Source organism: Homo sapiens, chromosome X (assembly GCF_000001405.40).
Source record: "Homo sapiens chromosome X, GRCh38.p14 Primary Assembly".
In the NCBI taxonomy this organism is placed as follows: domain Eukaryota; kingdom Metazoa; phylum Chordata; class Mammalia; order Primates; family Hominidae; genus Homo; species Homo sapiens.
This window is the reverse complement of record NC_000023.11, coordinates 52,169,392-52,195,586: the sequence shown is the minus strand read 5'-3', so window position 1 is coordinate 52,195,586 and position 26,195 is coordinate 52,169,392. Positions and strand designations below refer to the sequence as shown.

General features: G+C 48.5%; 1 protein-coding gene and 1 non-coding gene across 5 annotated transcripts; both read right to left on the bottom strand.

Annotated features, from left to right (window-relative positions):
- Positions 1 to 3,318: 3,318 nt before the first annotated feature.
- On the bottom strand, positions 3,319 to 10,699 carry MAGED4 (MAGE family member D4). 4 transcript variants are annotated; one of them, NM_001272061.2, is made up of 14 exons: positions 10,622 to 10,699; positions 9,455 to 9,716; positions 8,357 to 9,190; positions 7,742 to 7,945; positions 7,575 to 7,638; positions 7,302 to 7,381; positions 6,822 to 6,913; positions 6,121 to 6,200; positions 5,993 to 6,035; positions 5,539 to 5,601; positions 5,195 to 5,242; positions 4,479 to 4,593; positions 3,726 to 4,156; positions 3,319 to 3,530 (listed from the first exon to the last, which is right to left on the bottom strand). In NM_001272061.2, exons 2-14 carry the CDS (start codon positions 9,662 to 9,664, stop codon positions 3,521 to 3,523), a joined length of 2,274 nt encoding a protein of 757 aa, NP_001258990.1. In that variant the 5' UTR covers positions 9,665 to 9,716; positions 10,622 to 10,699; the 3' UTR covers positions 3,319 to 3,520. The 4 variants fall into 4 exon arrangements, with proteins under 4 accessions (NP_001258990.1, NP_001258992.1, NP_001092270.1 ...); NM_001272063.2 differs by lacking the exon at positions 5,195 to 5,242 and having other exon boundaries at positions 9,455 to 9,695; NM_001098800.3 differs by lacking the exon at positions 5,195 to 5,242 and having other exon boundaries at positions 3,714 to 4,156; positions 9,455 to 9,665.
- SNORA11D (small nucleolar RNA, H/ACA box 11D) lies at positions 4,839 to 4,965 on the bottom strand. Its single transcript, NR_003711.1, has one exon. It is a non-coding gene; the product is annotated as a small nucleolar RNA, H/ACA box 11D (small nucleolar RNA).
- Positions 10,700 to 26,195: the final 15,496 nt, after the last annotated feature.

Below are 26,195 nucleotides of genomic sequence, written 5' to 3'. Positions count from 1 at the left end.
TGGTGTTTTCATTGTCATGTGTCTCAAGATACTTTCTAATTTCCTTGTGGTCTGTTCTTTGACCCACTGGTTGTTGAAGAGAGTGTTGTAATTTCCACCTGTTTGTGACTTTTTCAATTCTCCTTCCGGTATTGCTTTCTAGTTTCATTCCATTGTGGTCAGAAAAGATAATTGGTATGATTTCAAACTTCTGAAGTTTGTGAAGATCCTAAATGTCAACAAAAAAGCTAAAGCATAAGACCTCTGGAAGAGAATTCAGGATAAAGCCTTGAAAAACTTGCTGTAGGCGAAGGACTCTTATAGCTATGACACAGAAAGCAATAGCCATGCAAAAACACCTTAAGTGAATTTCATCAAATTTAGAAATCTGGCTTTTCATCATTAGCGAAATGAAAAAGCAAACCATTCATTGCGGCAATGTTTGCAATATATACTACCCGACAATGGAAAAGTTTGCACGCAAAAAAGCACTCTTATAATTCAGTATTAAGACGACAAATGATAATCAATGTGCAAACCATGTGAATGGTTCTTCACATGCAACACGGAACGATATGCAACTGGTCAAGAGAAGAGGCTGGGCCAAGGTCACTAGTGGAGGCAGCGGCAAAGCTGGGTCAGAGATCTCAGGCAAGTCACCTCCCTTCTCTGAGTCTGTTTCCTCAAGTGCACAGTAGTAGCTCAGACGATCTTTGAGGGTGTCACGAGGTAGTGGGCAAAACGCCCTTGGCCCAGGGCCTGATGACGACAAAAACAAGGAGGAGCAGCAGGATGGATGCCCAGGAAGGAAAGCACCCAACCTGATGTCTCAGGAGGCTGGGAGGGCGGTGGCAGGCCTCAGAAACCTAGGGTGGAACCTGTCGTTCAGGGAAGCCGTGAGGGGTAGCGAATCATGCACGATGAAGGGAGATGGGGAGCGGTATGTGCACGTGGGTGCGAGGGTGGGTGTCAGGAGAGAGTGCCCAGCAGGTGGGTGTATCACCCCCAGGACACTGCAAGACCCTGGATGGCAGGGGAGGCCGACAGCAGGGCCCAGTGCACGCACCCTGGCCTCAGAGGGTCCCAGGTTCAAGTCTGTGCTCTGCCACTTCCTGGCTGTGTGACTTGGGGAGAGCATCTTCCCTCTCGGAGCCTCAGTTGGCTGAGACCATGAAATGGCCTTACTGCCCCCACCTCTCGGGCTTGGCCGAGAAACAGAAACATAGGCCCAGATGAGAAATTGTACATGAATATTCAGAACAACTTTATGCATAATGTCAATAACTGGAAACAAGTGAATGCACGAATGCTCGTCCATCGCCAGGCCTGGGGCAGGGGTGATCAGAGGGAGCAGGCCAAGCTGGGAGAAGGCTGTGAGTGCTGTCCACTGACACAGCAGGGCCTCAGAAAACACTTGCTGACATGGACTGTGGGCCTTTGCAGTGCGGGGTCTGCAGAAGGCCCCAGGCCGGGGGCAGGGGGGAAACCTGCCTAGGTCTCCTGTTTGCCATGTGAGTGAGGTGGTGGCCGTCTCCAGGGTGGCCGGTCTGACCCTTCTGCAGGACGCGCAGTCCAGTCCGCCCCCATTTCCCACCAGGGTGCTCTCACCTCCCTGCTCTCCTCCTCTCTTCCCAGGTGCTCTCAGCGCTGCCCCTACAGGGTAGGGGGAGTGGGTCCCTGGTGAGGCCCCACCGCAGCAAGGTGATGTGAAAGGGAGAGTGTCCAGCAAGCCTGGAGGCCTGAGGAGGCCGTGACCTGGCCAGCACCCCACCTCTGAGGGCTGCTTCCTGTTCCTTTCCGGTGGAACTTCCGTATCTCAAGTGCCCTCTGCACACAGTGTTCAAACTCACTCCTGTGGCTTATGGTGACTACCCCCACCCTGATCCAAGGACAGGCATGTGCCCGCTATGTGCACAAGGGTGTCCGGGGAGGTTCCAGCCAAATAGCATTAAATTTATGACGCCAGGGGTGGTGGAGTCCCAGGCATCCCTCATCTCTTCCACAGCCCAGACCACAAACCAGGAGACATAAAGGGAAGGGGACTCCATTGTGTGTGTGTGTGTGTGTGTGTTCCAGTAAAACTTTGGAACTGGATTTCTGTCAGAGTCCCAGAATGTCAGTGTGGCCAAGCATGGACCCAAGCACCAGAGAAGCAGAAATCACAGCGGCAGCCAACACGGAGACCCACCCAAAGCCTTTCTGACGGACAGCTTCTGGGGTGTGCAACCAATGCAGTCTGATGCTCACCAGGGCTCCCCATGTGGCTCCATGCTCTGCTGTTGTTGTTTTGAAATCCTTCATAGTTTTTGACAAGGAGACTCGTGTTTTCATTTTCCACTGGGCCTCCCAAATTAGGTAGCCCGGTCTGGGTCAGGATCTGGCCGTGGCGGAGATGGCAGCCCCTCCTGGGGAAACAGAGGCTGGGGCTGGGTGAGGGGGTGGGAAGCAGGGAGCCTTCCACTGCTATGTTTTCCCTCCTTATCTAGGGCTCTGTCCTCCCAAGCCCTGGACATTACCGGGGAACTCCAGAAGCCCTGGACACTGTCCCTGCCTGCCACTGAGCCCTTCCCAGGAGACCAAACTGTCTCTGCCCTCACTGTCTTGTACCTGAAGCATGTGCAGCCCTACCTCAGACCCCTCCAGACATCACCCAGCCCTTGAACACACCAGGACCTAGGTAGGCCTGGTGTTGTCCTCACTGGGAGAGCCCTGCTGCTGGGGGAGAAGGGCTGCGAAGCTCCAAACAGGCCGCCGTTCCGTCACAGGCAAGGGGCTGTGTACGCGTGCACCGTGCGTTGTTTTTATTACATCCTGCTCCCTCAGCAATCACGGCCCCTCCTTCTACCCACTGGAGGGCTGCGAACATCACTGCGGGGCCCACCTCATTGTCCGTCAGACTCTGTACCGAGGACGGGGTCCTGAACTGTGTGGATGATGAGCCAAGGGTTCCGGAACATCATCTCCAAGGAGGGGGTGTGGGAGGTGGGTCCTGGTGAGAGCCTTGGACCCTGTCCCTCGGCGGGAGGGGCAGTGGCACCAAGCTGCAATTTTCCACCCCGCCCCTGCTGTGGCCCCGACTCTTGCCATGTCCCTGGGGCTGCTGAGCAAGGTTTGTAGAAAATCACATAACGATGAGCACTGGGGCCTCTCCAAACTCCTGCTCACGCACTCAGGCGTAACCAACCTCCGCACCTCCCAGCATCCCACCTGTCCCTGTGGGCCTTTTTGGCAGAGGTGGGGCCCACCTACCCCAGAGAGCCTGAAGAAGTTTCCTTGCTACAAGCCCAAGCGTGGCCAGGTATAGCAATGGGTGTGCAGGTAAAGGAAGAAACATCCAAATTAATTTTGCAACTTTAATGTAACACTGATACCCAAAACATGAAAACACAAGGAAAAGCACAAAATGAAAGCAGGAAGAGCAAAGAGAGCTTCATCTTGCATGCCACCTCCGACTGACAGGAAGAAGCCGCCTAGGGTGCTGTGTCGAGAAGGAATCTGAGAGGAGGCGCTCTGGCTTGGCCAGTAAGATCGCTGCAGTTCGTCAACGGTGCCTATAAAAGCACAAGAAACCAAAGTGACAACATCCGTGGACACACGCGAACCAGGGAGGGGTGTACGTAACAAAATAAGTGTCCGTCCATGCTGTTGCCGTTGCCCCCAGCGCCCCCACCCTGGCCCTCCCTCTGACATCTCACCCCCCTCCGCAGCCCTCCTGCAGAGTCTCATTTCTCTACCGAAACTCTTACTGGATCCAGGAGAAGAAGCTGGCGCCAGCTCTGGCAGCATTTCTGGTCCGGATGGTGGAGCTGGTGCTGGGGCCATCTAGGACGCTGGTGCTGGCCCCTCCATTGGTGCCACTGCTGACGCCAGCTCTCCACGTGGCCCTCCTGTTGGCACGGTTGCTATTCAGAATGTACTGATGGTATCTGGCCCAGAAAGCAAAGGGGATCCTGGCCCAGGCATCGCCAAAATCTCCGTCCTCATCCCAGGTCAGGAGCTCGACTTGTATGTCATCCCAGCTCCACCGTCCAATCAGCGCTTCATCCCCGATATTCATCTGGGCCCTCATCTGGGCCCTGGCATGTTCCTCGGCCATATCCACATCCATTGTCTTGAAAGCATCATCCACAGCCTCCAAGAAATGAGCCTTCCATTCCCGGGGGTCTCGGTTCTGATTCTGAGGAGGAAAAGGGCAGGCATAGACACAGAGCTACCCCACACTGGCTGAGCACCCGCGGCCCGCCTCACCCCCTCCCGTGTGCTTTGTGCAATGATGGCAAAAATCAGGACCACAGGGATTGGGGGCTCCTACTCTCCTGTGCCAGACCTGGGATTTTGCCCCATCTGTGACCTTGTGTAGGGTGCTCAGGTGCCTCTGTGAGTGTTTGGTACCCTCACTGGAATACGGGGTAATGGGAAGGAGGCCTCGACCAAGAAACAAGCAAGGTGTGGAGAGCACCACCCCCGGTGCCGGGCACCCAACAGAGGCGCTCCCTTACCTGGGCGATGAATCTCAGGACCCTCATCTTGCTGGTCTCATGGCGGGCTCGCAGGCCCCAGAGGAATTCATACTCAGGTGGGTTGCTGTTGGGGATCTTCTTGTATTCCAGGTACCTTGGCATGAGAGGAAAGTAAACTTTGCTGCTAGCCAAGCAGACCTGTTGCTGAACGGATGGGTTCCAGGGGGCCCCTCCTCAACCCGATGCCGCAGCTCAGCTCCTGGAAGAGGACTGTCCTGCCCCTCCAGCCCTTCACTCATTCCCAAACCCACTCCCAGGACTTCTGCCTGCAAAAGTGAGGCCTTCAAAGCCTTTTGCCATTGGTCCTCCCCGGAAGCCATGCGGAGGTGCAGGGGGTCCACATGTAGGGCATTTGTCTGTAGGGAGGCCACAAGTTTGTGCCCCTCATCACGATGACCCCAGCTTCCTGTTGGGTGTGTTGTAAACAGAGGAGCCATTCTTCAGGCCCCCTGCTCTGAGCACACCCCACCTCGAGGGTCTTGGCCACACCCCGGCGGAGCCCTGGAGAGGCCCACCAGAGGAAACGACTGGAGAGGAAGAAACAGTCAGCCAGGAGAAGCGTGCTCCAGGCATCCTCCTCAAGTCCTGACCCTTTGTTGGTGTGCATGCGCGCCTGTGCGTTGGCAAGTCCTCCAGGGACGGGGAGAGGGTGGCCCCTGGCCTGAAAATCAGGAGAGTTGGGCTGAGGCCCTTACCAGCTGGGAGCCATGCTCAGAGGCGTCTCCTCTCTGAGCTCCGGGTTCCTTAGGTGTAAACCAGGGGGAACTCTTGTGTCAGTCTACAGGGCAGGTGCTCAAGGTGATGGCGGCCGTTTTCACACCCCACACCGTGTTCTCAGGTGACGTGAGCTCCCTTTTCCCAAGACCGCCCTGGCCTTCGGCTCCCCACACACTCGCATACCCCCCACTGCCACTCACTCCCAGGTCAGAGGCACCCATCCCTCCAGTTGAAGATTTGGGATAGGGAACTGCTTTCTCAGCCAGACCAGCACACAAAGGATGCTCGAGTGAGAGCCGCAGTTAGCTCAGGTGATACTTACTTCTGCTTCACAAAGTCATCTGTGATGAGCTTCCTCAGATCGCCGAGGAATGGGTGCCTCACCCTGAGGGCAAGGAAAGGAATCCATGAGCAGAGACGGTGGCAGGGGCCCTCCCTAGCATGACTATGACTTCCCAGCCCCCGGGGAGTCGCTGTGGAGGCCTGGGCATGCAGCAGAGGCCAGAGGACTGTTGGTCAGGGACGCCCCAGGTAGGGATTTGATGGAATCCCTGACTCTGACTGTCTCTCTTAGATGTCATCTGGGGCCACAGAGCAGAGAGAGGGCTGAGCAGCGTCCAGCACCGCTTCCCCATCCGCCCTGGTGAGATCCTTTGCTCTCTACCGAGCCCAGGGCACCCCACGCCCTTGCGCCAGACCACCAGGCTATTGCAATCCCAGGACCTCTTTGGCCAGAGGATAGCACCGAGGGGAGGAGCTGGAGAGGCCAATCATACCCAGGGCGCAGTCCCATCTTGCGTAGTGCCTCCCAGAGGACAGCTGCGAGGGGAGAGGAGGTACGAGAGTTTGGCACCCAGAAGATGAGACTATGGGCAGCCCCCCAGTTGCAGGTCCAGCCACTCACCCTCGCTGGCACGGTTGCCATTCATGAAGATGACGCCCAGAATCACCAAGAGGAGACTCAGCCTGGGAGTGTCCTTGGTTCTAAAGGTGTGGAAAGAGAAATCCTGTTTAGCAGCTATTTGCCTGAGAGACACCACCAGGCTCTCCCAACTAGCCTCTCTCAGGTTTCCCAGCTTGAGGGGAACTCTTCCCAGGACAGGCACAGTTCACTAGCTGCTGACAGACCATTCGCACCTCCGCCTGAGACTTAATCGCCTCCTCTATAAAACATGGGTACTAACACTTCCCTGACAGGGTTCTGCAGAGGACAGGGCGAGGCAGGGAGCCGAAGCTCTGCAAATGGCAAACGTGTGCCCAGAGATGGCTCCAGACCTTTCCTGCCCCTTCCACATCAGCACCTACACTGAAGAGGCAGCTCTCCCCTAGGCCAGCTCTGCCAGGCCCAGGCCAGGCAGGCAGGAGGAAGAGGCACTTTCCTCCGAAGCTTTGGGGATAAAGCCCGGCAGCAGCTTGGGGAGAACTGATGGCAGCAAGGCCTCACCCCAGGCTATCATTCCTTTCATCCAGCAGTCACCAGGCAGCCCTCGCTGTGTGTGGGAGCGGTGCGCCGCACTCAAGCCCCGTCTTCCTGCTTCACTGAAGGGGTGTGGGCAGGGAAGGGACACCACCGAGGAAGGCCACGACCCGCTTTCCCTTTCTTACTTTCCAAGGAGGCGAGCTGAGGAGTCCCGTGTGCAGACAAGAATATACAGGTGTTCTTCCTTGTCGATCTCCTTCAGGTGGATCCCAAACTTCTACGTGGGGGAGAAAACAGAGTGTGAGATCCAAACCCCATGCTGGGCATCCTGCCGGCAGACAGTGATTCCGGGTTAGAACTGCTCCTCAGCAAGGAATCCAAACTCGTGAGCGAGGGCAGAAGAAGACAGCACACGGAAGACCTTCGCTGTGGGAGCTGACGCTGGCAGAGGCGATGAGACCCACCTGGCCAGACGGCGAGACACTCAGAGAGCATGAGAGAGAGAAGCCGAGGGCAGGAAGCACGAGTCAAACTGCCAGTGCAGTGGAAGCTCAGAGTCGGAGAGGTGAGAGATGGCTCCAGAGACTGGGCCTTGAGGGGCTGCAGGGTCACCGCACCCCCATGCCCGCTCTTCCCCCACAGAGCTGCTCCCATCCTGCACCCACCTTTTCCAGGGTGTACGTTGCTCGTTCAATGATCTCAGGGAAATGTTCATCATATTCTCTGATGACATCCTTCAGCATGTCTGCAGGAGGGGGAAGAGTTGGAGAAAGCACCTGGGCTGAGCAGGGGTCATAGAGCTGTAGCCCCTTGGTCAGCTCTGCCGAGGGTGACGCAGCCAGGACCCCGTCCTGTGGCTATGGAGGGACCAGCCGTGGCACGCAAGCAAAGGGATGCCCACAGACTAGGGGATGGTGAAGGGGGCACAGGCTGCCTACCTGCGCGCTTGATGGGGATCTTCTTGTAGTCCTTAATCATCAGGTATTTCACCAACTTATTTGCCTGGAGAAGGAGGAACATGCGGGGAGGTCAAGGCATGGGTGACAGCAGAGACGTGGCCCACAAGGGAGGAGAGGAAGGAGATGGGGGAGGGTGGGCTTCTTACCCTCTCCTGCAGAAGGGTCACGTTGCGGGGGGGCAGGCACAGTACGTGCCTTGAGGGTATCTGGGACCTCGGGGCCATCGGGGGCCGAGGGGCCAACTGAGCCCGCACCGTCAATGAGGGCTGTGATGCTCTCCAGGTGGGTGGGACCGCGGGAGTCTCTCTCTCCTCCTCGCTGCTCTCATACTCATCATCCAGGTGCTTGGACTGTATCATTTGAGAGAGGAGAGACCCAGGGCTACCAGGCTCCCCGTGCCAAAGCACCCGGCACGCACCTCACCCGTAGCAGGCTCTTGGAAATGAGAGCAGTACCAGCAGCGGCTGGCATGTGCTGCGTGCTTACTAAGTGCCAGGCACTGAGCCAGCCTCTTCTCCCACCAGTCCTGAGGGTAGGGACTACGTGGAGTGAAAACATGCTCAGCAAACTTGTGTTGGAGAAACATGGACTAGCTGAGAGGAGAGGAGGGGAGGAGAGGGGAGGTGAGGAGAGAAGGAGGGGAAAGAGGAGAAGAGAGGAAGAAGGGGGAGAGGAGAGGGAGGAGAGGAGCAGGAAAGGGAGGAGAAGGAAAGGACAGGAGCAAGGGGGTGTGGAGGTGGCAGGGGGCAGGGGGATCTCACCTTCTTGGTCCTCTTGCCTCCCATCCTGGCCCAGGGCTCAGCACTGTGCTGAGCAGTGGCAGCAGCTGCACCCTCCGGCTCAGGGATGCTCGTGGCCATCTTGGCCTTGGCAGCAGCTGCTGCCACAACATTCTGAGGCTCCACCCACCGAGTCTTGGCCAGCGCCTTCCCCGACTTGGTGGTCTTGGGCCGGGTGGCTGCCACCTCCCTGCCAGGTCCCGTCTGGGGCACACCAGAGGCAGCACTGGGGCCCTCTGTGGCAGCCTCTTGGGCTGGGGCAGGTCTCTTGGGGCGCGGGAAGGCCATGCCACTGACACCTGCCGGCTGAGTGAAATCGAAGACATCATTCTGGCCCAGGAAGGCTGTGCTGGGCCGGTTGGCGTCCACCTCCCTGGCACACGGAGCCTGAGAGAAAGCACAGGCGCTACTAGGGCCCTCAGTAGCAGCCTCCTGGGCCGGGGAGCCTGTCTGGGACTGTGCGGAGGTTGCCGGAGCCTCGGGGGCAGCCATCTTACTGGTGACTAACATCTGGGAGGTCTGCGGAGAAGCAAGGGGTGGCTCAGGGGTGGGCCCCTGAGCCTCGGCGGCGTAGGTCGTGGGCTGGGTATCCTCTCCTGAGACCTGCGGCGTGGCCACCCGGTGGCTAGCGACCACCTGACTGAAGGCGGTACGGGCAGCGGCGGCAGCGGCCCGAGCCGCACGGTTGGAGGCGGCGGCGCGGGCTACGTTGGCAGCACGGGCGGCCGTCTCATTGGCAAGTGTTTCCGGATCCAGCTGCAATGCCTCCACCAGGGTCTGGGCCAGCACAGGGTTTTCCAGTTCCCAGGGCTCATTCTGCAAGGCCAGAGAGAGGGGTTGGGGAAGGCAGGCCACTCGACGACATACTTGTGTTAGCTTCCCTGTGCTGGCCAGCCTCTTCCCAGCAGTCAGCCCTGAACACCCCAAGACCTTCCCAAATCTTCTTCTTCCGAGCAGGGGAGGGAAGGCTTGGGAAGCTGGGCAGTCCTTTCCCACACAACCCTCCTGGCTCCCCCCTCCTCCCTCCCCCATTCACAGGGGAAAGGCCCAGGCCAGCAGGTGTCCAGGAAGGGGCCTCACCGATAAGATGCGAAGGCCTGGACCCAAGCTTCCGAAGGCTCTGAGGATATGGATGTCAAAGCTGGTGAGGGTGCCATAGCCACCAAACGCACCGAATTCTTCATAGTCGTTGCCTTCAACCATCTCTTCCTCCCCGACTTCGTCGCTACCCTCATCCATGTCTTCAACACTGTAGCTTTCCGATTGCACGCTGAAGCTTCCCTCAGCCATGCTGCGGGTCCCAGGGAGATGAGAGCTCAGCCTGAGAGGGAGGGTGAAGCAGCTGCAGGGGGAGGGGGCGGGATCCAATGGGAGGCGGGATCTCCCGGGAGGTGAGGGGCGACAATCATCAGGTTACTAGGCAATATTAGGCAGTAGGGGGCGGGGGGGGGGAGGAGGAGCGGGGGGGAGACGGTTTGGCTTTCTGATGGGGTAGACCTGGTCAGGGACAGAGCCCAAGGAAAGGGACAGAGGAGGTCGCAGGAGGCGCCGCACTGAAAGCGGAGTTTAGGATGGGCAGGCTCGCCATCCCAGCGGCTAGATTTGACGAGGGGGTGTTCTGGAGGGCTGGGGTCCGAAGAGTCCCAAAGGGAATGCATTGGGGAAGAGAGAAACAAAGGGTTTGGATTTACGGGCCAGAGAAGGGGACCGGGATGAAGGGGGAGCAGATGGGAGAGCTCAGACAACAGGGACAGTGGCAAGCCGCAAGCTCTGCGAAACAGAACCCCAGGGACCTTTGGCTAGGTCCGGGCGGGGGGCCTAGGTGGGGCTCAGACTCGAGCACTAGAGGCGGATGGAGTGGGGGCCTCAGACCTAGGTGAGGCTCCAATCGGAGCGCTGCAGATCTCAAACGCGAGGACTGGGCACTCCAGGAAGGGGGCAAGCGGTCAGCTCGGTTCGAGTAATCTAGGAGTGGTTGGGGTGGGGGTGGGGCCTCAGGTCCAAGGGAGCTCAGCTCGGAGCACACGGGTCTGCTAAAGGGGTGAGGATCCTGGGCTCCGGTTTCAGTAGGGCTCAGATCGGGGCGCCTGGGTCTGATGGTGATGGGGGCTCCTATCTAGACCTTGGGTCTAATGGGGTTCCGGTTCTGAGTGCTTGGGCTTTGTTCAGATCCGGAGGCGGAGGGAGGGCGCAGCGTGTCGGGTTCCACTCGCCCTCTCCCGGTCCTGTCTGGGGCTGGATCCTTACCTTCTCGGGAACTCCAATGGCGTCCGTCCTCAGCACCAGGAACCCCGCAGCCGCGCCCTCGCCTACTGCTGCCAGCACAGCAGCCCGGACCACCCCGCCCCTTTTCTCCGTGCACCCCCCGCGGCTGGGTAGCCTGCGCATGCGCGGACCCCTCCAGCCCGCCCGCTTTCCCAACAAAAGCCCTTTCCTCCAGGTCTCCAGTGCGCATGCGATTCCGCGGGTGGGTGGGCGGTGGGGTCGAAGGTAGGGTGCGGGGGGCTCTTCCCGCCAGATCCACTTCACCTCTCCTCCTCCTCCTCCTCCTACCGCGGGCGCGCACACTCATACCCTGCAGTGCAGCTCGACCCACCCAATCATCTCTTCTCAGTCCCCCCACTTTTGCACAATGCTTCTCTGTCCTGCCCTGCCCTTTCACCCAAACTCCTCCAGCCTGGTCTGGGATACACTATGCCCCGTTTCCCCGGCAAGACCCCTTAGGTCACAATTAGTGAGGTCTCACAATTAATAAGCTGGGTCTCTAACTGCAACAAGTGGAAATCCTCAACCTGCGGGGCTACGAAATGGACATGGCCAGAGGATGGCACTTCGCTTTGTGTGCTTCTCCACTAGCCAACTCTCTGGCCCCCAGACATACTGGGAACATCTGCTTCCTCAGCTACCCTTTATGCAGCTTGTATGTCACAGAGGGATCTGTGCTGGGGCTTTTCTTCCTCTCACAGCAGCGCTGGGAAGTGGATGTCAGCATCCCCATTTGGCGTGTCAGGAAGCTGAGGCACAGACACATTGCATGAACTAGACCACAGAGCCAGGAAACAGAAAATGCAAAATTTGAACCTGGGTCTTCCGGACTCCAAAGTCCACCTCCTGCTCCTGCTGGCCTGGGGACAGAGGCACCGCCTCCTCCGTCTGAGTGACAGGCCTCCCCCACCCCAACATCTGTCCCAAAGAAGCAAGGTTTGTGCTGTAGAAGGCCTAAGTTCATGCTCCGCATTCAGGACACAGGGAGACAGAGCCTCCCCCCGCCTCGCCCCCAGCCTCTGCGGCTCTATGTGGGTCCATCCAGGTATGAGAATTGCTCCACCGGGTCCACTCTCTACTCAGATTGTCAGGCCTCTTCCTTATCAGCGATACAATCACGCTGCCGCTGAGACCCTCCTGGTGTCCGCCAGGACAATTAGACACCTGTGTGTCTGAGCTAATTACTCCACAATCTACAAGCCCAGTTCAAACTTCACTTTTGAGGTCCAAGTGCATAGTACATTCACCTGCCTACGTGACATCTCCACTTGGATGTCTTTTGAGGCAGAAAATGCTGTGGTCTCATCTGCAGTCGAACCTGGACTGTTTGTAAAATTCGTAGTAGATTTTTATATTTGTTTTTATGTCAGCCTCACCAGGACCCCTGTGTATGAATGGAAGGTATTGCTAGGACAGCAGCTTTTACTCTCCGCTGACCAGTATCCATTCTGCCTGGCTCTGTGGTTTTCTCCAGCTGTTATATATCAATCTCTCCTGTCAGCTGCTTGTGCCTCTTTAGCCCTTCCCCTGTAACATATCCTCTGCGGGAGAGGAACACACCCTACAAACGAAAGCCTTCAGAAAGTGCTACGTGCTAATCACTCCAAAAAATCTACAACCCCAGTCTGAACTTCACTTTTGAGGTCCAAGTACATACATTCACCCACCTACGTGGCATCTCCACTTGGAAGTCTCAAGGGCTCTTCATGGTTTGCCTGTCCAAAACTGGTCACTTGGTATACTCACTCCTCCCATACACTCACACATCCCCATCGCTCCTGTTCCCCCCCCCCCCAACCCATCTTCACAGTCTCAGTAAATGGCGCCATTATCCACACAACCACTCACTCCAGAAACTGGGAGTCATCGATCACCACTCCCCGTTTCTGATACGCTGCATCCAGAAGGGCAAGCTCTGAAGGGTCTCCAGAGCTGCCTCTCTGTGCAGCTGTCTTCTCTCCATTACTCCCGGCAAATTCTGGTCCTATGGACCTCTTGAGCTCTCAACTCTGTCTCCTTCACTCAGACGGTCCACCGGGCTCTGTTGTGTTCAGCTCCCCTGTGCTGCAGCCTGCAAACTCTATCCGGGCAAGAAGTTGGTGGAATTGGGCGATCAGAGGGCTCACCTGGTCAGGTTCCCTTTCTCTCAGGGATCACTGTCCCGTATGCAGGTGGTGCCATGACGTTAAGCCTTATAATTTTTTTGGTTTATAGGTATTTAGGCGAGACGGTAAGTCCGGTTCCTGTTAATCCATCATGGCTGGAAATACAAGTATCCACCGGATTTCTTAATTTTCTTTTCACTGAGCCCTGTGCTTTCAGGAGGCCTCCACGTTGCCACGCATAATCTAAAGTATGTCCAAGGTGCTATGCACAGAGAATCCATGGTGTGCATTCCTGACATTTTACCTATCTGCTCGCCCAGAGATTTACCCTTTCTCCTAAGTAACTAGAAAATCAGAAGAAAACCATAAGAAACATTTAGATGTCCAAAGAGAAGAATGACAGCACATTTCTCATTAGCAATATGCAAGTCAGAAGTCATGTGGCACACCATCTTTAAAATCGTGAAATAAAAATAAATGTCAACTCTTAAGTCTATACTCAATGAATATCTTTTCAAATGAAGTTAAAATAGTAGGTGTTTAGACATACAGAAGTTGAAAGAATTGATCATCAATAGACTTGCACTGTAATATTTTTTAAAACTTTTATGTTTGGGGGTACATGTGAAGGTTTGTTACATAGATAAACACGTGTCACGGGGGTTCGTTGCACACATGACTACATCACCCAGGTATTGAACTCACTATCCAAGAGTTATCTCTTTTCTGCTCCTCTCCGTCATCCCACCCTCCCCCTTAAGGAGACCCCAGTGTCTGTTGTTTCCTTCTTTGTGTTCATAAGTTCTTATCATTTAGCTCCCAATTCTAAGTGAGAACATGTGGGATTTGCTTTTCTGTTCCTGCGTTAGTTTGCTGAGCTTATAGCCTCCAGCTCCATGCCTGTTCCCACAAAAGACACGGCCTTGTTCTTCTTTATGGCTGCATAATATTCCATGGTGTATATGCACCACATTTTCCGTATCCAGTCTGTCATTGATGGGCATTTATGTTGATTCCACGTTTTTGCTCTTGTGAACAGTGCTGCAGTGAATAGTCCAGGTGCATGTGTCTTTATGGTAGAATGCTTTATATTCCTCTGGCTCTATACCCAGTAATGGGATTGCTGGGTCAAATGGTAGTTCTGCTTTTAGCTCTTTGAGGAATTGCGATACTGCTTTCCACAATGGTTGAGCTAATGTACACTCCCGCCAACCGTGTATATGGGTTTCCTTTTCTTGGCAACCTCGCCAGCATCTGCTATTTTTTGTTTTTAGTAACAGCCATTCTGACTGTTATGGGATGGTATCTCATTGTGGTTTTGATTTGCATTTCTCTAATGATCAGTGATATTGAGCTGTTTTTCATATACTTCTTGGCTACATGTATGTCTTCTTTTGAGAAGTGTCTGTTCATGTCATTTGCCCCCTTATTAATGGGGTTGTTTGTTTTTCTCTTGTGCATTTGTTTAGGCTTTTTATAGATGCTGGATATCAGACCTCTGTTAGATGAATAGTGTTGCAAAAATTTTCTCCCACTTTGTAGGTTGTCTGTTTACTCTGTTGATAGTTTCTTTTGCTGTGCAGAAGCTCTAAGTTTAATTAGATCCCATGTGTCAATTTTTACTCTTGCTGTGATTGCTTTTGGTGCCTCTGTCGTGAGATCTTTGCCTGCTCCTATGTCCAGGATGGTATTGCCTAGGTTGTCTTCCAGGGTTTTTATGGTGTTGGGTTTTACATTAAAGCCTTTAATCCATCTCATGTGGATTTTTGTAGATAGTGTAAGGAAGGGGTCCAGCTTCAATCCTCTGCATACGGCTAGCCAGTTATCACAGCACCATTGATAGAATATGGAGTCTTTTTCCCACCGCTTGTTTTTGTCAGCTTTGTCAAAAAAAAAAAAAAAGAAAAAAGCTGGTTGTAGATGTGCGACATTATTTATGGCCTCTCTATTCTGTTCCATTGGTCTATGTGCCTGTTTTTGTGCCAGTACCAGTACCATGCTGTTTTGGTCATTGTAGCCTTGCAGTATAGTTCTTTTAGCTTACGATTGCCTTGGCTATCCGGGCTCCTTTTCTGGTTCCATGTACATTTTTAAATAATTGTTTCTAGCTCTGTGAAGAATGTCCTTGGTAGTTCGATGGGAATAGCATTGAATCTATAAATTGCTTTAGGCAGTGTAGCCACTTTAATGATATTGGTTCTTCCTATCCATGAGCATGGGATGTTTTTCCATATGTTCATGTCTGCTCTGATTTCTTTGAGCAGTGTTTTGTAATTCTCATTGTGGAGATCTTTCACCTTCCTGGTTAGCTGTATTCCTAGGTGTTTTATTTTTGTGTGTGTGGCAATTGGGAATGGGATTGCCTTTCTGATTTGGCTCTCAGTTTGGTTGGTGGTGGTGTATAGGAATGCTAGTGATCTTTGTACATTGATTGTGTATCCTACAACTTCGCTCAAGTCGTTTATCAGCTGAAGGAGCTTTTTGGCCAAGACTATGGGGTTTTCTAGATATAGAATCATGTCATCTGCAAACAGAGGTGGTTTGGCTTCCTTTCTTCCTATTTGGATACACTTTATTTATTTCTCTTGCCTGGTCGCCCTGACCAGGTCTTCCAGTACAATGTTGAGTAGGAGTAATGAGAGAGGGCAACCTTGTCTTGTGCCGGTTTACAAGGAGAATGCGTCCAGCTTTTGCCCATTCAGTATGATATTGGCGTGGGTTTGTCACAGATGGATTTTCATTATTTTGAGGTATGTTCCTTCAATATTGAGTTTATCGAGAGTTTTTACCATGAAGAGATGTTAACTTTTATCAAAAGCCTTTTCTGCATCTATTGAGATCACCATACGTTTTTTGTCTTTAGATCTGTGTATATGATGAATCACATTTATTGATTTCCGTATGTTGAACCAAACTTGCATCCCGGGGATGGAGCCTACTTGATCGTGGTGGATTAGCTTTTTGATGTGCAGCTAGGTTCGGATTGCCAGTATTTTGTTGAGGATTTTCGCATCGATGTTCATCAAGGATATTGGCCTGAAGTTTTCTTTTGTTGTGTGTGTGTCTCTGCCAGATTTTGGTATCAAAATGATGCTGGCCTCATAGAATGAGTTGGGGAGAAGTCCCTCCTCCTCAGTTTTTGTTTTTTTTTTTTTTTTTGGAATAGTTTCTGTAGGAATAGCACCAGCTCTTCTTTGTACATCTGGTAGAATTAGCTGTGAATTCCTCGGGTCCTTTTTTCTTGTTGTTGTTGTAGTTGTTTTGTTGTTGTTCTTGTTGTTAGGCTATTTATTACTGAATCAATTTCAGAGCTCATTATTGGTGTGTTCAGGAACCAATTTCTTCCTGGCTCCATCTTGGGAGGGTGTATTTGATTGATTTGGGAGGAATTTATTGATTTCTTGTAGGTTTTCTAGTTTGTGTCTATACAGGTGTTCATAACAGTCTCTGGGGTTTTTCGGTACTTCTCTGGGGTTGGTGGTAATGTCCACTGTGTCATTTCTGAGTGTGTTTATTAGGATCTTCTCTCTTTTTTTTAAAAATTAGTCTAGATAGGGGTTTATCAGTCTTATTTTTTCTTTCAAATAACCAACACCTGGTTTCATTGATCTTTTGTATGGTTTTTTGCAACTTAAATTCATTCAGTTAAGTTCTGATTTTTGTTACTTCTTGTTTTCTGCTAGCTTTGGGGTTGGCTTGCTCTTGTTTTTCTGGTTCCTCTAGGTATGATGTTAGATTATTAATTTGAGATCTTTCTAAGTTTTTGACATGGGCATTTTGCACTAAAAACTTTCCTCTTAACACTGCTTTAGCAGTGTCCCAGAGATTCTGGTATGTGGTAGCTTTGTTTTCATTAATCTCAAAGAATTTCTTGATTTCTGCCTTAATTTCATTGTTTACCCAAAAGTCACTCAGGAGCAGTTTGTTTAATATCCTTGTTATTGTATGGTTTTAAATGATCTTCTTAGTATTGATTTCTGTTTTTATTGTATTGTGGTCTGAGAGGGTGGTTGGTAATTTTTCGGTTTGTTTTTATTTTGCTGAAAATTGATTTATGGCCAATTGTGTGCTCAGTTTTACAGTATGTTTCATGTGCAGATGAGAAGAATGTAGATACTGTTGTTTTGGGGTGTAGAGTCCTGTAGAATAGTCTGTTCAGTCTATGTGGTCAAGCATACTGTTCAGATCCCGGATAACTTTGTTAGTTTTCTGCCTGATGATCTGTCTAATACTGTCAGTGGGGTGTTGAAGTCTCCCACCATTATTTTGTGGTTATCTAAGACCCTCTGTCAGTCTCTAAGAACTTGTTTTATGAATCTGAATGATCCTGTTGTTAGGTGCCAGTGCTCCTATTGTTGGGTGCATATATATTTAGGATTGCTAAGCCTTCTTGTTGAATTGAACCCTTTACCCTTATGTAATGCCCTCTTTGAGGAAATTACAACTTTCTTCATCTTTTTGGTTTTGGCAAAGATTTTCAAAATGAGACACCCAAACCACAAACTATAAAAGAAGAAAAATTAATACATTTGATTCCACCACAATTAAAGTTTTTGGCCTTTAAAAGGCATTCTTTTGAAATTGAAAGAGAAATCCACACTCTGTGATAAAATATTTAGAATTCATATATCTATATCCAACACAGGACACTTCTAGACTATAAAGAAGTCTTATAACTCAATTATAAGAAGGCAAATACTCAACTATAAATATGGAGAAAAGACTTCAACAGACTACCTCACCAAAGAAGATACACAGATGGCTAACAACCACACAAAAAGATACCATCATTTATCATTCAGGAAATGCAGATTAAAATCAAATTTAAATACTGTCGTAGATACATGAGCATGATTGAAATTAAAATAACTGATTATACCCAGTGCTAGCAATGATGTGGAACTTCTGAATGATGGAAACACTTCGGAAATTGGTTTGGTAGTCGCTTACCCAGTTAAATATTCACCTCCCATAAACCAGCCATTCCACTCCAAGACATACACAGGAGAAAAGAAAATATATTTTCATATGATTACTTGTTTATGAATATTCATAGCAAATTTATTTGTAATAGCCAAAAGCCTGAAGACAACCCAAGTGTCCATCAACAGGGAGATGAATTATGAAATTGTGCTATGTCCATACAACGGAATACTACAGCGCATTAAAAAGAAATGAATTGTTGATACTTATGACAACATAAACGCATCTGAAAATATGCTCTCTGAAAGAAGCTAAACCAAAAAAAAAGGGTGCAGGGAGTAAGATTACGTTTATTAAAATTCTGGAATTTCAAAGGAGCCCGAGGATATATTTTTGTTTGTAATACAGGTGTTCATTATCATTACTATAATGATTGTTTCACAGGTGTGATACCAAAACTTATTAGATCATATATGTTAAATATGCTCAGTCTAACATATGTCGATTATAATTAATAAAGATGTAAAGAAGCCGGGCGTGGTGGCTCACGCCTGTTATCCCAGCACTTTGTGGGGGCGAGGCAGGAAGATCGCTTGAGGCCAGGAGTTGAAGATCAACCTCACCAACATAGTGAGCCCCAGTCACTATAAAAAATTTAAAAATTAGCCAGGTGTGATGGGGCATGCCTCCAGTCCCAGCCACTTGGGAGACTGAGGCAGGAGTATCACTTGAGCCAAGGAGTTCCGGGCTGCAGTAAGCTAAGAAGATGCCACTGCACTGCAGCTGGGGTGACAGAGTGAGACCCTATCTCGAAAAAAATAAAAAATAGACACAGTATGGGATATCCCTATCTATCTATATATCATATTATATAATATGCATAATGATATATCTAAAAATAATCTTACGTAAAACAAGAACACATGTCACACATTATGTGTTTTTGCTTTTTTTAATTTTCAAAAATAGCTAGCCTCTACAAAGCTCTCTTATAATTATTATTATTATACTTTAAGTTCTAGGGTACCTGTGCACAATGTGCAGGTTTGTTACATATGTATACATGTGCCATGTTGGTGTGCTGCACCCATTAACTCGTCATTTACATTAGGTATATCTCCTAATGCTATCCCTCCCCCCTCCCCTCACCCCATGACAGGCCCCGCTGTGTGATGTTCCCCTTCCTGTGTCCAAGTGTTCTCATTGTTCAATTCCCACCTATGAGTGAAAACATGCGGTGTTTGTTTTTTTGTCCTTGTGATAGTTTGCTGAGAATGATGGTTTCCAGCGTCATCCATGTCCCTACAAAGGACATGAACTCATCATTTTTTATAGCTGCATAGTATTCCATGGTGTATATGTGCCACATTTTCTTAATCCAATCTATCATTGATGGACATTTGGGTTGGTTCCAAGTCTTTGCTATTGTGAATAGTGCCGCAATAAACATACATGTGCATGTGTCTTTATAGCAACATGATTTATAATCCTTTGAGTATATACCCAGTAATGGGATGGCTGGGTCAAATGGTATTTCTAGTTCTAGATCCTTGAGGAATTGCCACACTGACTTCCACAATGGTTGAACTAGTTTACAGTCCCACCAACTGTGTAAAAGTGTTCCTATTTCTCCACATCCTCTCCAGCACCTGTTGTTTCCTGACTTTTTAATGATCGCCATTCTAACAGGTATGAGATGGTAACTCATTGTGGTTTTGATTTGCATTTCTCTGATGGGCAGTGACGATGAGCATTTCTTCATGTGTTTTTTGGCTGCACAAATGTCTTCTCTTGAGAAGTGTCTGTTCATACCCTTTGCCCATTTTTTGATGGAGTTGTTTGTTTTTTTCTTGTAAGTTTGTTTGAGTTCTTTGTAGATTCTTGATATTAGGCCTTTGTCAGATGAGTACATTGCAAAAATTTTCTCCCATTCTGTAGGTTGCCTGTTCACTCTGATTGTAGTTTCTTTTGCTGTGCAGAAGCTCTTTAGTTTAATTAGATGCCATTTGTCAGTTTTGGCTTTTGTTGCCATTGCTTTTGGTGTTTTAGACATAAAGTCTTTGCCCATGCCTGTGTCCTGAATGGTATTGCTTAGGTTTTCTTCTAGGGTTTTTATGGTTTTAGGTCTAACATGTAAGTCTTTCATCCATCTTGAATTAATTTTTGTATAAGGTGTAAGGAAGGGATCCAGTTTCAGCTTTCTACATATGGCTAGCCAGTTTTCCCAGCACCATTTATTAAATAGGGAATCCTTTCCCCATTGCTTGTTTTTGTCAAGTTTGTCAAAGATCAGATAGTTGTAGGTATGTGGCATTATTTCTGAGGGCTCTGTTCTGTTCCATTGGTCTATATCTCTGTTTTGGTACGAGTACCATGCTGTTTTGGTTACTGTATCCTTGTATTATAGTTTGAAGTCAGGTAGCGTGATGCCTCCAGCTTTGTTCTTTTGGCTCAGGATTGTCTTGGCAATGTGGGCTCTTTTTTGGTTCCATATGAACTTTAAAGTAGTTTTTTCCAATTCTGTGAAGAAAGTCATTGGTAGCTTCATAAGGATGGCAGTGAATCTATAAATTACCTTGGGCAGTATGGCCATTTTTATGATATTGATTCTTCCTCTGAATGAGCATGGAATATTCTTCCATTTGTCTGTGTACTCTTTTATTTTGTTGAGCAGTGGTTTGTAGTTCTCCTTGAAGAGGTCCTTCACATCCCTTGTAAGTTGGATTCCTAGGTATTTTATTCTCTTTGAAGCAATTGTGAATGGGAGTTCACTCATGATTTGGCTCTCTGTCCGTTATTGGTGTATAAGAATGCTTGTGATTTTTGCACACTGATTTTGTATCCTGAGACTTTACTGAAGTTGCTTATCAGCTTAAGGAGATTTTGGGCTGAGACGATGGGGTTTTCTAGATATAAAATCATGTCATCTGCAAACGGGGACAATTTGACTTCCCGTTTTCGTCATTGAATGCCCTTTATTTCTTTCTCCTGCCTGATTGCCCTGGCCAGAACTTCCAACACTATGTTGAATAGGAGTGGTGAGAGAGGGCATCCCTGTGTTGTGCCAGTTTTCAAAGGGAATGCTTCCAGTTTTTGCCCATTCAGTATGACATTGGCTGTGGATTTGTTGTAAATAGCTCTTATTATTTTGAGATACGTCCCATCAATACCTAATTTATTGAGAGTTTTTAGCATGAAGGGCTGTTGAATTTTGTCAGAGATCTTTTCTGCATCTATTGAGATAATCATGTTGTTTTTATCGTTGGTTCTGTTTATATGCTGGATTACGTTTATTGATTTGTGTATGTTGAACCAGAATTGCATCCCAGCGATGAAGCCCACTTGATTGTGGTGGATAAACTTTTTGATGTGCTGCTGGATTCGGTTTGCCAGTATTTTATTGAGGATTTTTGCATCGATGTTCATCAAGGATATTGGTCTAAAATTCTCTTTTTTGGTTGTGTCTCTGCCAGGCTTTGGTGTCAGGATGATCCTGGCCTCGTAAAATGAGTTAGGGAGGATTCCCTCTTTTTCTATTGATTGGAATAGTTTCAGAAGCAATGGTACCAGTTCCTCCTTGTACCTCTGGTAGAATTCGGCTGTGAATCCATCTGGTCCTCGACTTTTTTTGGTTGGTAGGCTATTAATTATTGCCTCAATTTCAGAGCCTGTCATTGGTCTATTTAGGGATTCAACTTCTTCCTCGTTTAGTCTTGGGAGGGTGTATTTGTCGAGGAATTTTTCCATTTCTTCTAGATTTTCTAGTTTATTTGCGTAGAGGTGTTTATGGTATTTTCTGATGGTAGTTTGTATTTCTGTGGGATCGGTGGTGATATCCCCTTTGTCATTTTTTATTGCGTCTATTTGACTCTTCTCTCTTTTCTTCTTTATTATTCTTGCTAGTGGTCTATCAATTTTGTTGATCTTTTCAAAAAACCAGCTCCTGGATTCATTGATTTTTTGAAGGGTTTTTTTGTGTCTTTATCTCCTTCAGTTCTACTCTGATCTTAGTTATTTCTTGCCTTCTACTTGCTTTTGAATGTGTTTGCTCTTGCTTCTCTAGTTCTTTTAATTGTGATGTTAGTGTGTCAGTCTTGGATCTTTCCTGCTTTCTCTTGTGGGCAATTTAGTGCTATAAGTTTCCCTCTACACACTGCTTTGAATGTGTCCCAGAGATTCTGGTATGTTGTGTCTTTGTTCTCATTGGTTTCAAAGAACATCTTCATTTCCACCTTCATTTCGTTATGTACCCAGTAGTCATTCAGGAGAAGGTTGTTCAGTTTCCATGTAGTTGAGCGGTTTTGAGTGAGTTTCTTAATCCCGAGTTGTAGTTTGATTGCACTGTGGTCTGAGAGACAGTTTGTTATAATTTCTGTTCTTTTACATTTGCTGAGGAGTGCTTTACTTCCAACTATGTGGTCAATTTTGTAATAAGTGCTATGTGGTGCTGAGAAGAATGTATAATCTGTTGATGTGGGGTGGAGAGTTCTGTACATGTCTATTAGGTCCACTTGGTGCAGAGCTGAGTTCAATTCCTGGATATCCTTGTTAACTTTCTGTCTCATTGATCCGTCTAATGTTGACAGTGTGGTGTTAACATCTCCCATTATTATTGTGTGGGAGTCTAAGTCTCTGTGGGTCTCTAAGGACTTGCTTTATGAATCTGTGTGCGCCTGTATTGGGTGCATATATATTTAAGGTAGTTTGGTCTTCTTGTTGAATTGATCCGTTTACCATTATGTAATGGCCTTCATTTTCTCTTTTGATCTTTGTTGGTGTAAGATCTGTTATATCAGAGACTAGGATTGCAACCCCTGCCTTTTTTTGTTTTCCATTTGCTTGGTAGATCTTCCTTCATCCTTTTATTTTGAGCCTATGTGTGTCTCTGCACGTGAGATGGGTTTCCTGAATACAGCACACTGATGGATCTTGACTCTTTATCCTATTTGCCAGTCTGTGTCTTTTAATTGGAGCATTTAGTCCATTTACATTTAAAGTTAATATTGTTATGTGTGAATTTGATCCTGTCATTATGATGTTAGCTGGTTATTTTGCTCTTTAGTTGATGCAGTTTCTTCCTAGCCTTGATGGTCTTTACAATTTGGCATGATTTTGCAGTGGCTGGTACAGGTTGTTCCTTTCCATGTTTAGTGCTTCCTTCAGGAGCTCTTTTAGGGCAGGCCCAGTGGTGACAAAATCTCTCAGCATTTGCTTGTCTGTAAAGTATTTTATCTCTCCTTCACTTATGGAACTTAGTTTGGCTGGATATGAAATTCTGGGTTGAAAATTCTTTTCTTTAAGAGTGTTGAATATTGGCCCCCACTCTCTCCTGGCTTGTAGAGTTTCTGCCGAGAGATCAGATGTTAGTCTGATGGGCTTCCCTTTGTGGGTAACCTGACCTTTCTCTCTGGCTGCCCTTAACATTTTTTCCTTCATTTCAACTTTGGTGAATCTGACAATTATGTGTCTTGGAGTTGCTCTTCTCGAGGAGTATCTTTGTGATGTCCTCTGTTATTTCCTGAATTTGAATGTTGGCCTGCCTTGCTAGGTTGAGGAAGTTCTCCTGGACAATATCCTGAAGAGTGATTTCCAACTTGGTTCCATTCTCCCTGTGACTTTCAGGTACACCAATCAGACGTAGATTTGGTCTTTTCACATAGTCCCATATTTCTTGGAGACTTTATTCATTTCTTTTTACTCTTTTTTCTCTAAACTTCTCTTCTCACTTCATTTCATTCATTTGGTCTTCAATCACTGATACCCTTTCTTCCAGTTGATTGAATCGGCTACTGAATCTTGTGCATTCATCCTGTAGTTCTCGTGCCATGGTTTTCAGCTCCTTCAGGTAATTTAAGGACTTCTCTTCACTGGTTATTCTAGTTCGCGGTTCATCTAATCTTTTTTCAAGGTTTTTAGCTTCTTTGCGATGGGTTCGAACTTCCTCTTTTAGCTTGGAGAAGTTTGATCATCTGAAGTCTTCTTCCCTCAACTTGTCAAAGTCATTCTCCGTGCAGCTTTATTCGGTTGCTGGCAAGGAGCTGTGTTCCTTTGGAGGAGGAGAGGCACTCTGATTTTCAGAATTTTCAGCTTTTCTGCTCTGTTTTTTCCCCATCTTTGTGGTTTTATCTACCTTTCATCTTTGATGATGGTGACATACAGATGGGGTTTCGGTGTGAATGTCCTTTCTGTTTGTTAGTTTTCCTTCTAACAGTTAGGACCCTCAGCTGCAGGTGTGTTGGAGTTTGCTGGAGGTCCACACCAGACCCTGTTTGCCTGGGTATCAGCAGCAGAGGTTGCAGAATAGTGGATATTGGTGAACAGCAAATGTTGCTGCCTGATTGTTCCTCTGGAAGCTTCATCTCACAGGGGTACCCAGCTGTGTGGGGTGTCAGTCTGCCCCTACTTGGGGGTGCCTCCTAGTTAGGCTACTTAGGGGTCAGGGACCCACTTGAGGAGGCAGTCTGTCTGTTCTCAGATCTCAAACTCCGTGCTGGGGGAAGCACTACTCTCTTCAAAGCTGTCAGACAGGGACATTTAAGTCTGCAGAGGTTTCTGCTGCCTTTTGTTCGGCTATGCCCTGCCCCCAGAGGTGGATACTACAGAGGCAGGCAGGCCTCCGTGATTTGCGGTGGGCTCCACCCATTTCGAGCATCCCGGCTGCCTTGTTTACCTACTCAAGCCTCAGCAATGGCGGGTGCCCCTCCCCCAGCCTTGCTGCTGCATTGCAGTTCGATCTCAGACTGCTGTGCTAGCAATGAGACAGGCTCTGTGGGCGCATGAGGCCCTCCAAGCCATGCACGGGATATAATCTCCTGGTGTACCATTTGCTCAGACCATTGGAAAAGCACAGTATTAGGGTGGGAGTGACCCAATTTTCCAGGTGCCATCTGTCACAGCTTCCCTTGGCTAGGAAAGGGAATTCCCTGGCTCCTTGTGCTTCCTGGGTGAGACGATGCCTCACCCGGCTTCGGCTCACGCTCAGGGGGCTGCATCCACTGTCCTGCACCTGCTGTCTGACAAGCCCCAGTGAGATTAACCCAGTACCTCAGTTGGAAATGCAGAAATCAACTGTCTTCTGTGTTGCTCACACTGGGAGCTGTAGACTGGAGCTGTTCCTATTCGGCCATCTTGGAACCGCCCCCCTACAAAGCTCACATTTTGTGTTTTTATCACATAAGAAAAATGATAAATAATAAACATATTAGAATGGTACATTTAGATGAGCAGTGCACAGTGGGAGTAGAGAATGTAAACAAAAAGGATCAAATAAATGAATGGCAAGAAGATGGGGGCCTTGCCTAACAGAATGGCAAGAACAGTGATATGAGCTGGAAATGATTTTCTCAACCCTCTGACCCTAACATATCCCCACCCTCCCCTTGCTTGAATTATTCTGACCTTCTCTTAATCCCCTGTTGAAGCCATGCTTGTTGGTTTTAGTGACTGACTTTATAGTTTTGCTTCCAATACCCCTGAACTGGTAACCCTCTTTGCTGTTCACCTGTCTACCTCATGCATATTTCCAAGTCCTCAGCTTAAATGTCACTTCTTCATGATAGCATTTTCTGGCCACAAAACACTTCACCCTCAATTTAAATTATTTTTTCTCTTTTACTTTCTCTTAGTGCTCTGGAAACTTCCTCTATACCATTTATCCCAGTATATGTCATAATGATACATAGTTTTAGAGGGATTCTTTTTGAAACATCTCTCTCCCCATTGCAGTGAAAGCCCCAGGGTGAAAGTATCATTGTCTGTTTTCTTCTCCACTGTATATCCTAAGGGCCTGCATAGTCCAGTGCCTATTATATATTAGAATCTCAAATATGTTTATTGGAGGCATGAATGAGTGAATGAATGAATGAGTTGAAAAACCAAATGGAAAAAATGAATGGCCTGACAGAGAGACTGGTGGATATGTGTATGTACTGATGATCTTCCCACATGTTGGCTTTCCCGGTAGTGGGGAAACAGCCAGAGATGTGTGTGGGAGAGCAAAGTGATGAAAGAGTCTCAAACCTGGAATACAGAAGGAGAAATCATGGATAGGAGAAGGATGGAATGAAAAGCCAGTTGGAGGACTGAAACGATGCAGGAAAGAGGGGGGGAGAGAGAGAAAGAAAGTGAGATAGATAGATAAAAGATAGATAGATAGATAGATGATAGATAGATAGATAGATAGATAGATGGCAGCAAACAGAGAGGGCAGAGGCAGGGGAGATGAGGGAGCGATGGAGGAGAGAGACAGGAGGTTGTACTACAAGGTGACAAGCAGAAAGCCAGGAGCAGGAAGAAGGCATAGGAACACATCTTCCTGATGCCTGTGCAGTGATCAAAATATGAAATTCCGCAAGTTCCCCTTTTCTTTTCCTTACCACAAGCTCTTAACATTAGCTATCGGAAATTAAAGCTGTTTGTAAAACTTAACATAGCAAAGGTCTCACTTTAAACATTGCTTTTGGTGAAAAGCTAGTTGCTGACATCTCACCAGTAATAAAGCTGCAGGGAAAGGTACAAGGACATGAAGG

What these genes read in the sequence shown, in the direction of transcription:
- MAGED4 (NM_001272061.2), bottom strand. Translation starts at nt 9,664, where the DNA reads ATGGCTGAGGGAAGCTTCAGCGTGCAATCGGAAAGCTACAGTGTTGAA. An exon ending in TGGCAACCGTGCCAGCGAGG is followed by an intron (nt 6,036 to 6,120) that starts GTGAGTGGCTGG and finishes CTCCCCTCGCAG; the next exon opens with CTGTCCTCTGGGAGGCACTA. An exon ending in GATGACTTTGTGAAGCAGAA is followed by an intron (nt 5,243 to 5,538) that starts GTAAGTATCACC and finishes TTTACACCTAAG; the next exon opens with GAACCCGGAGCTCAGAGAGG.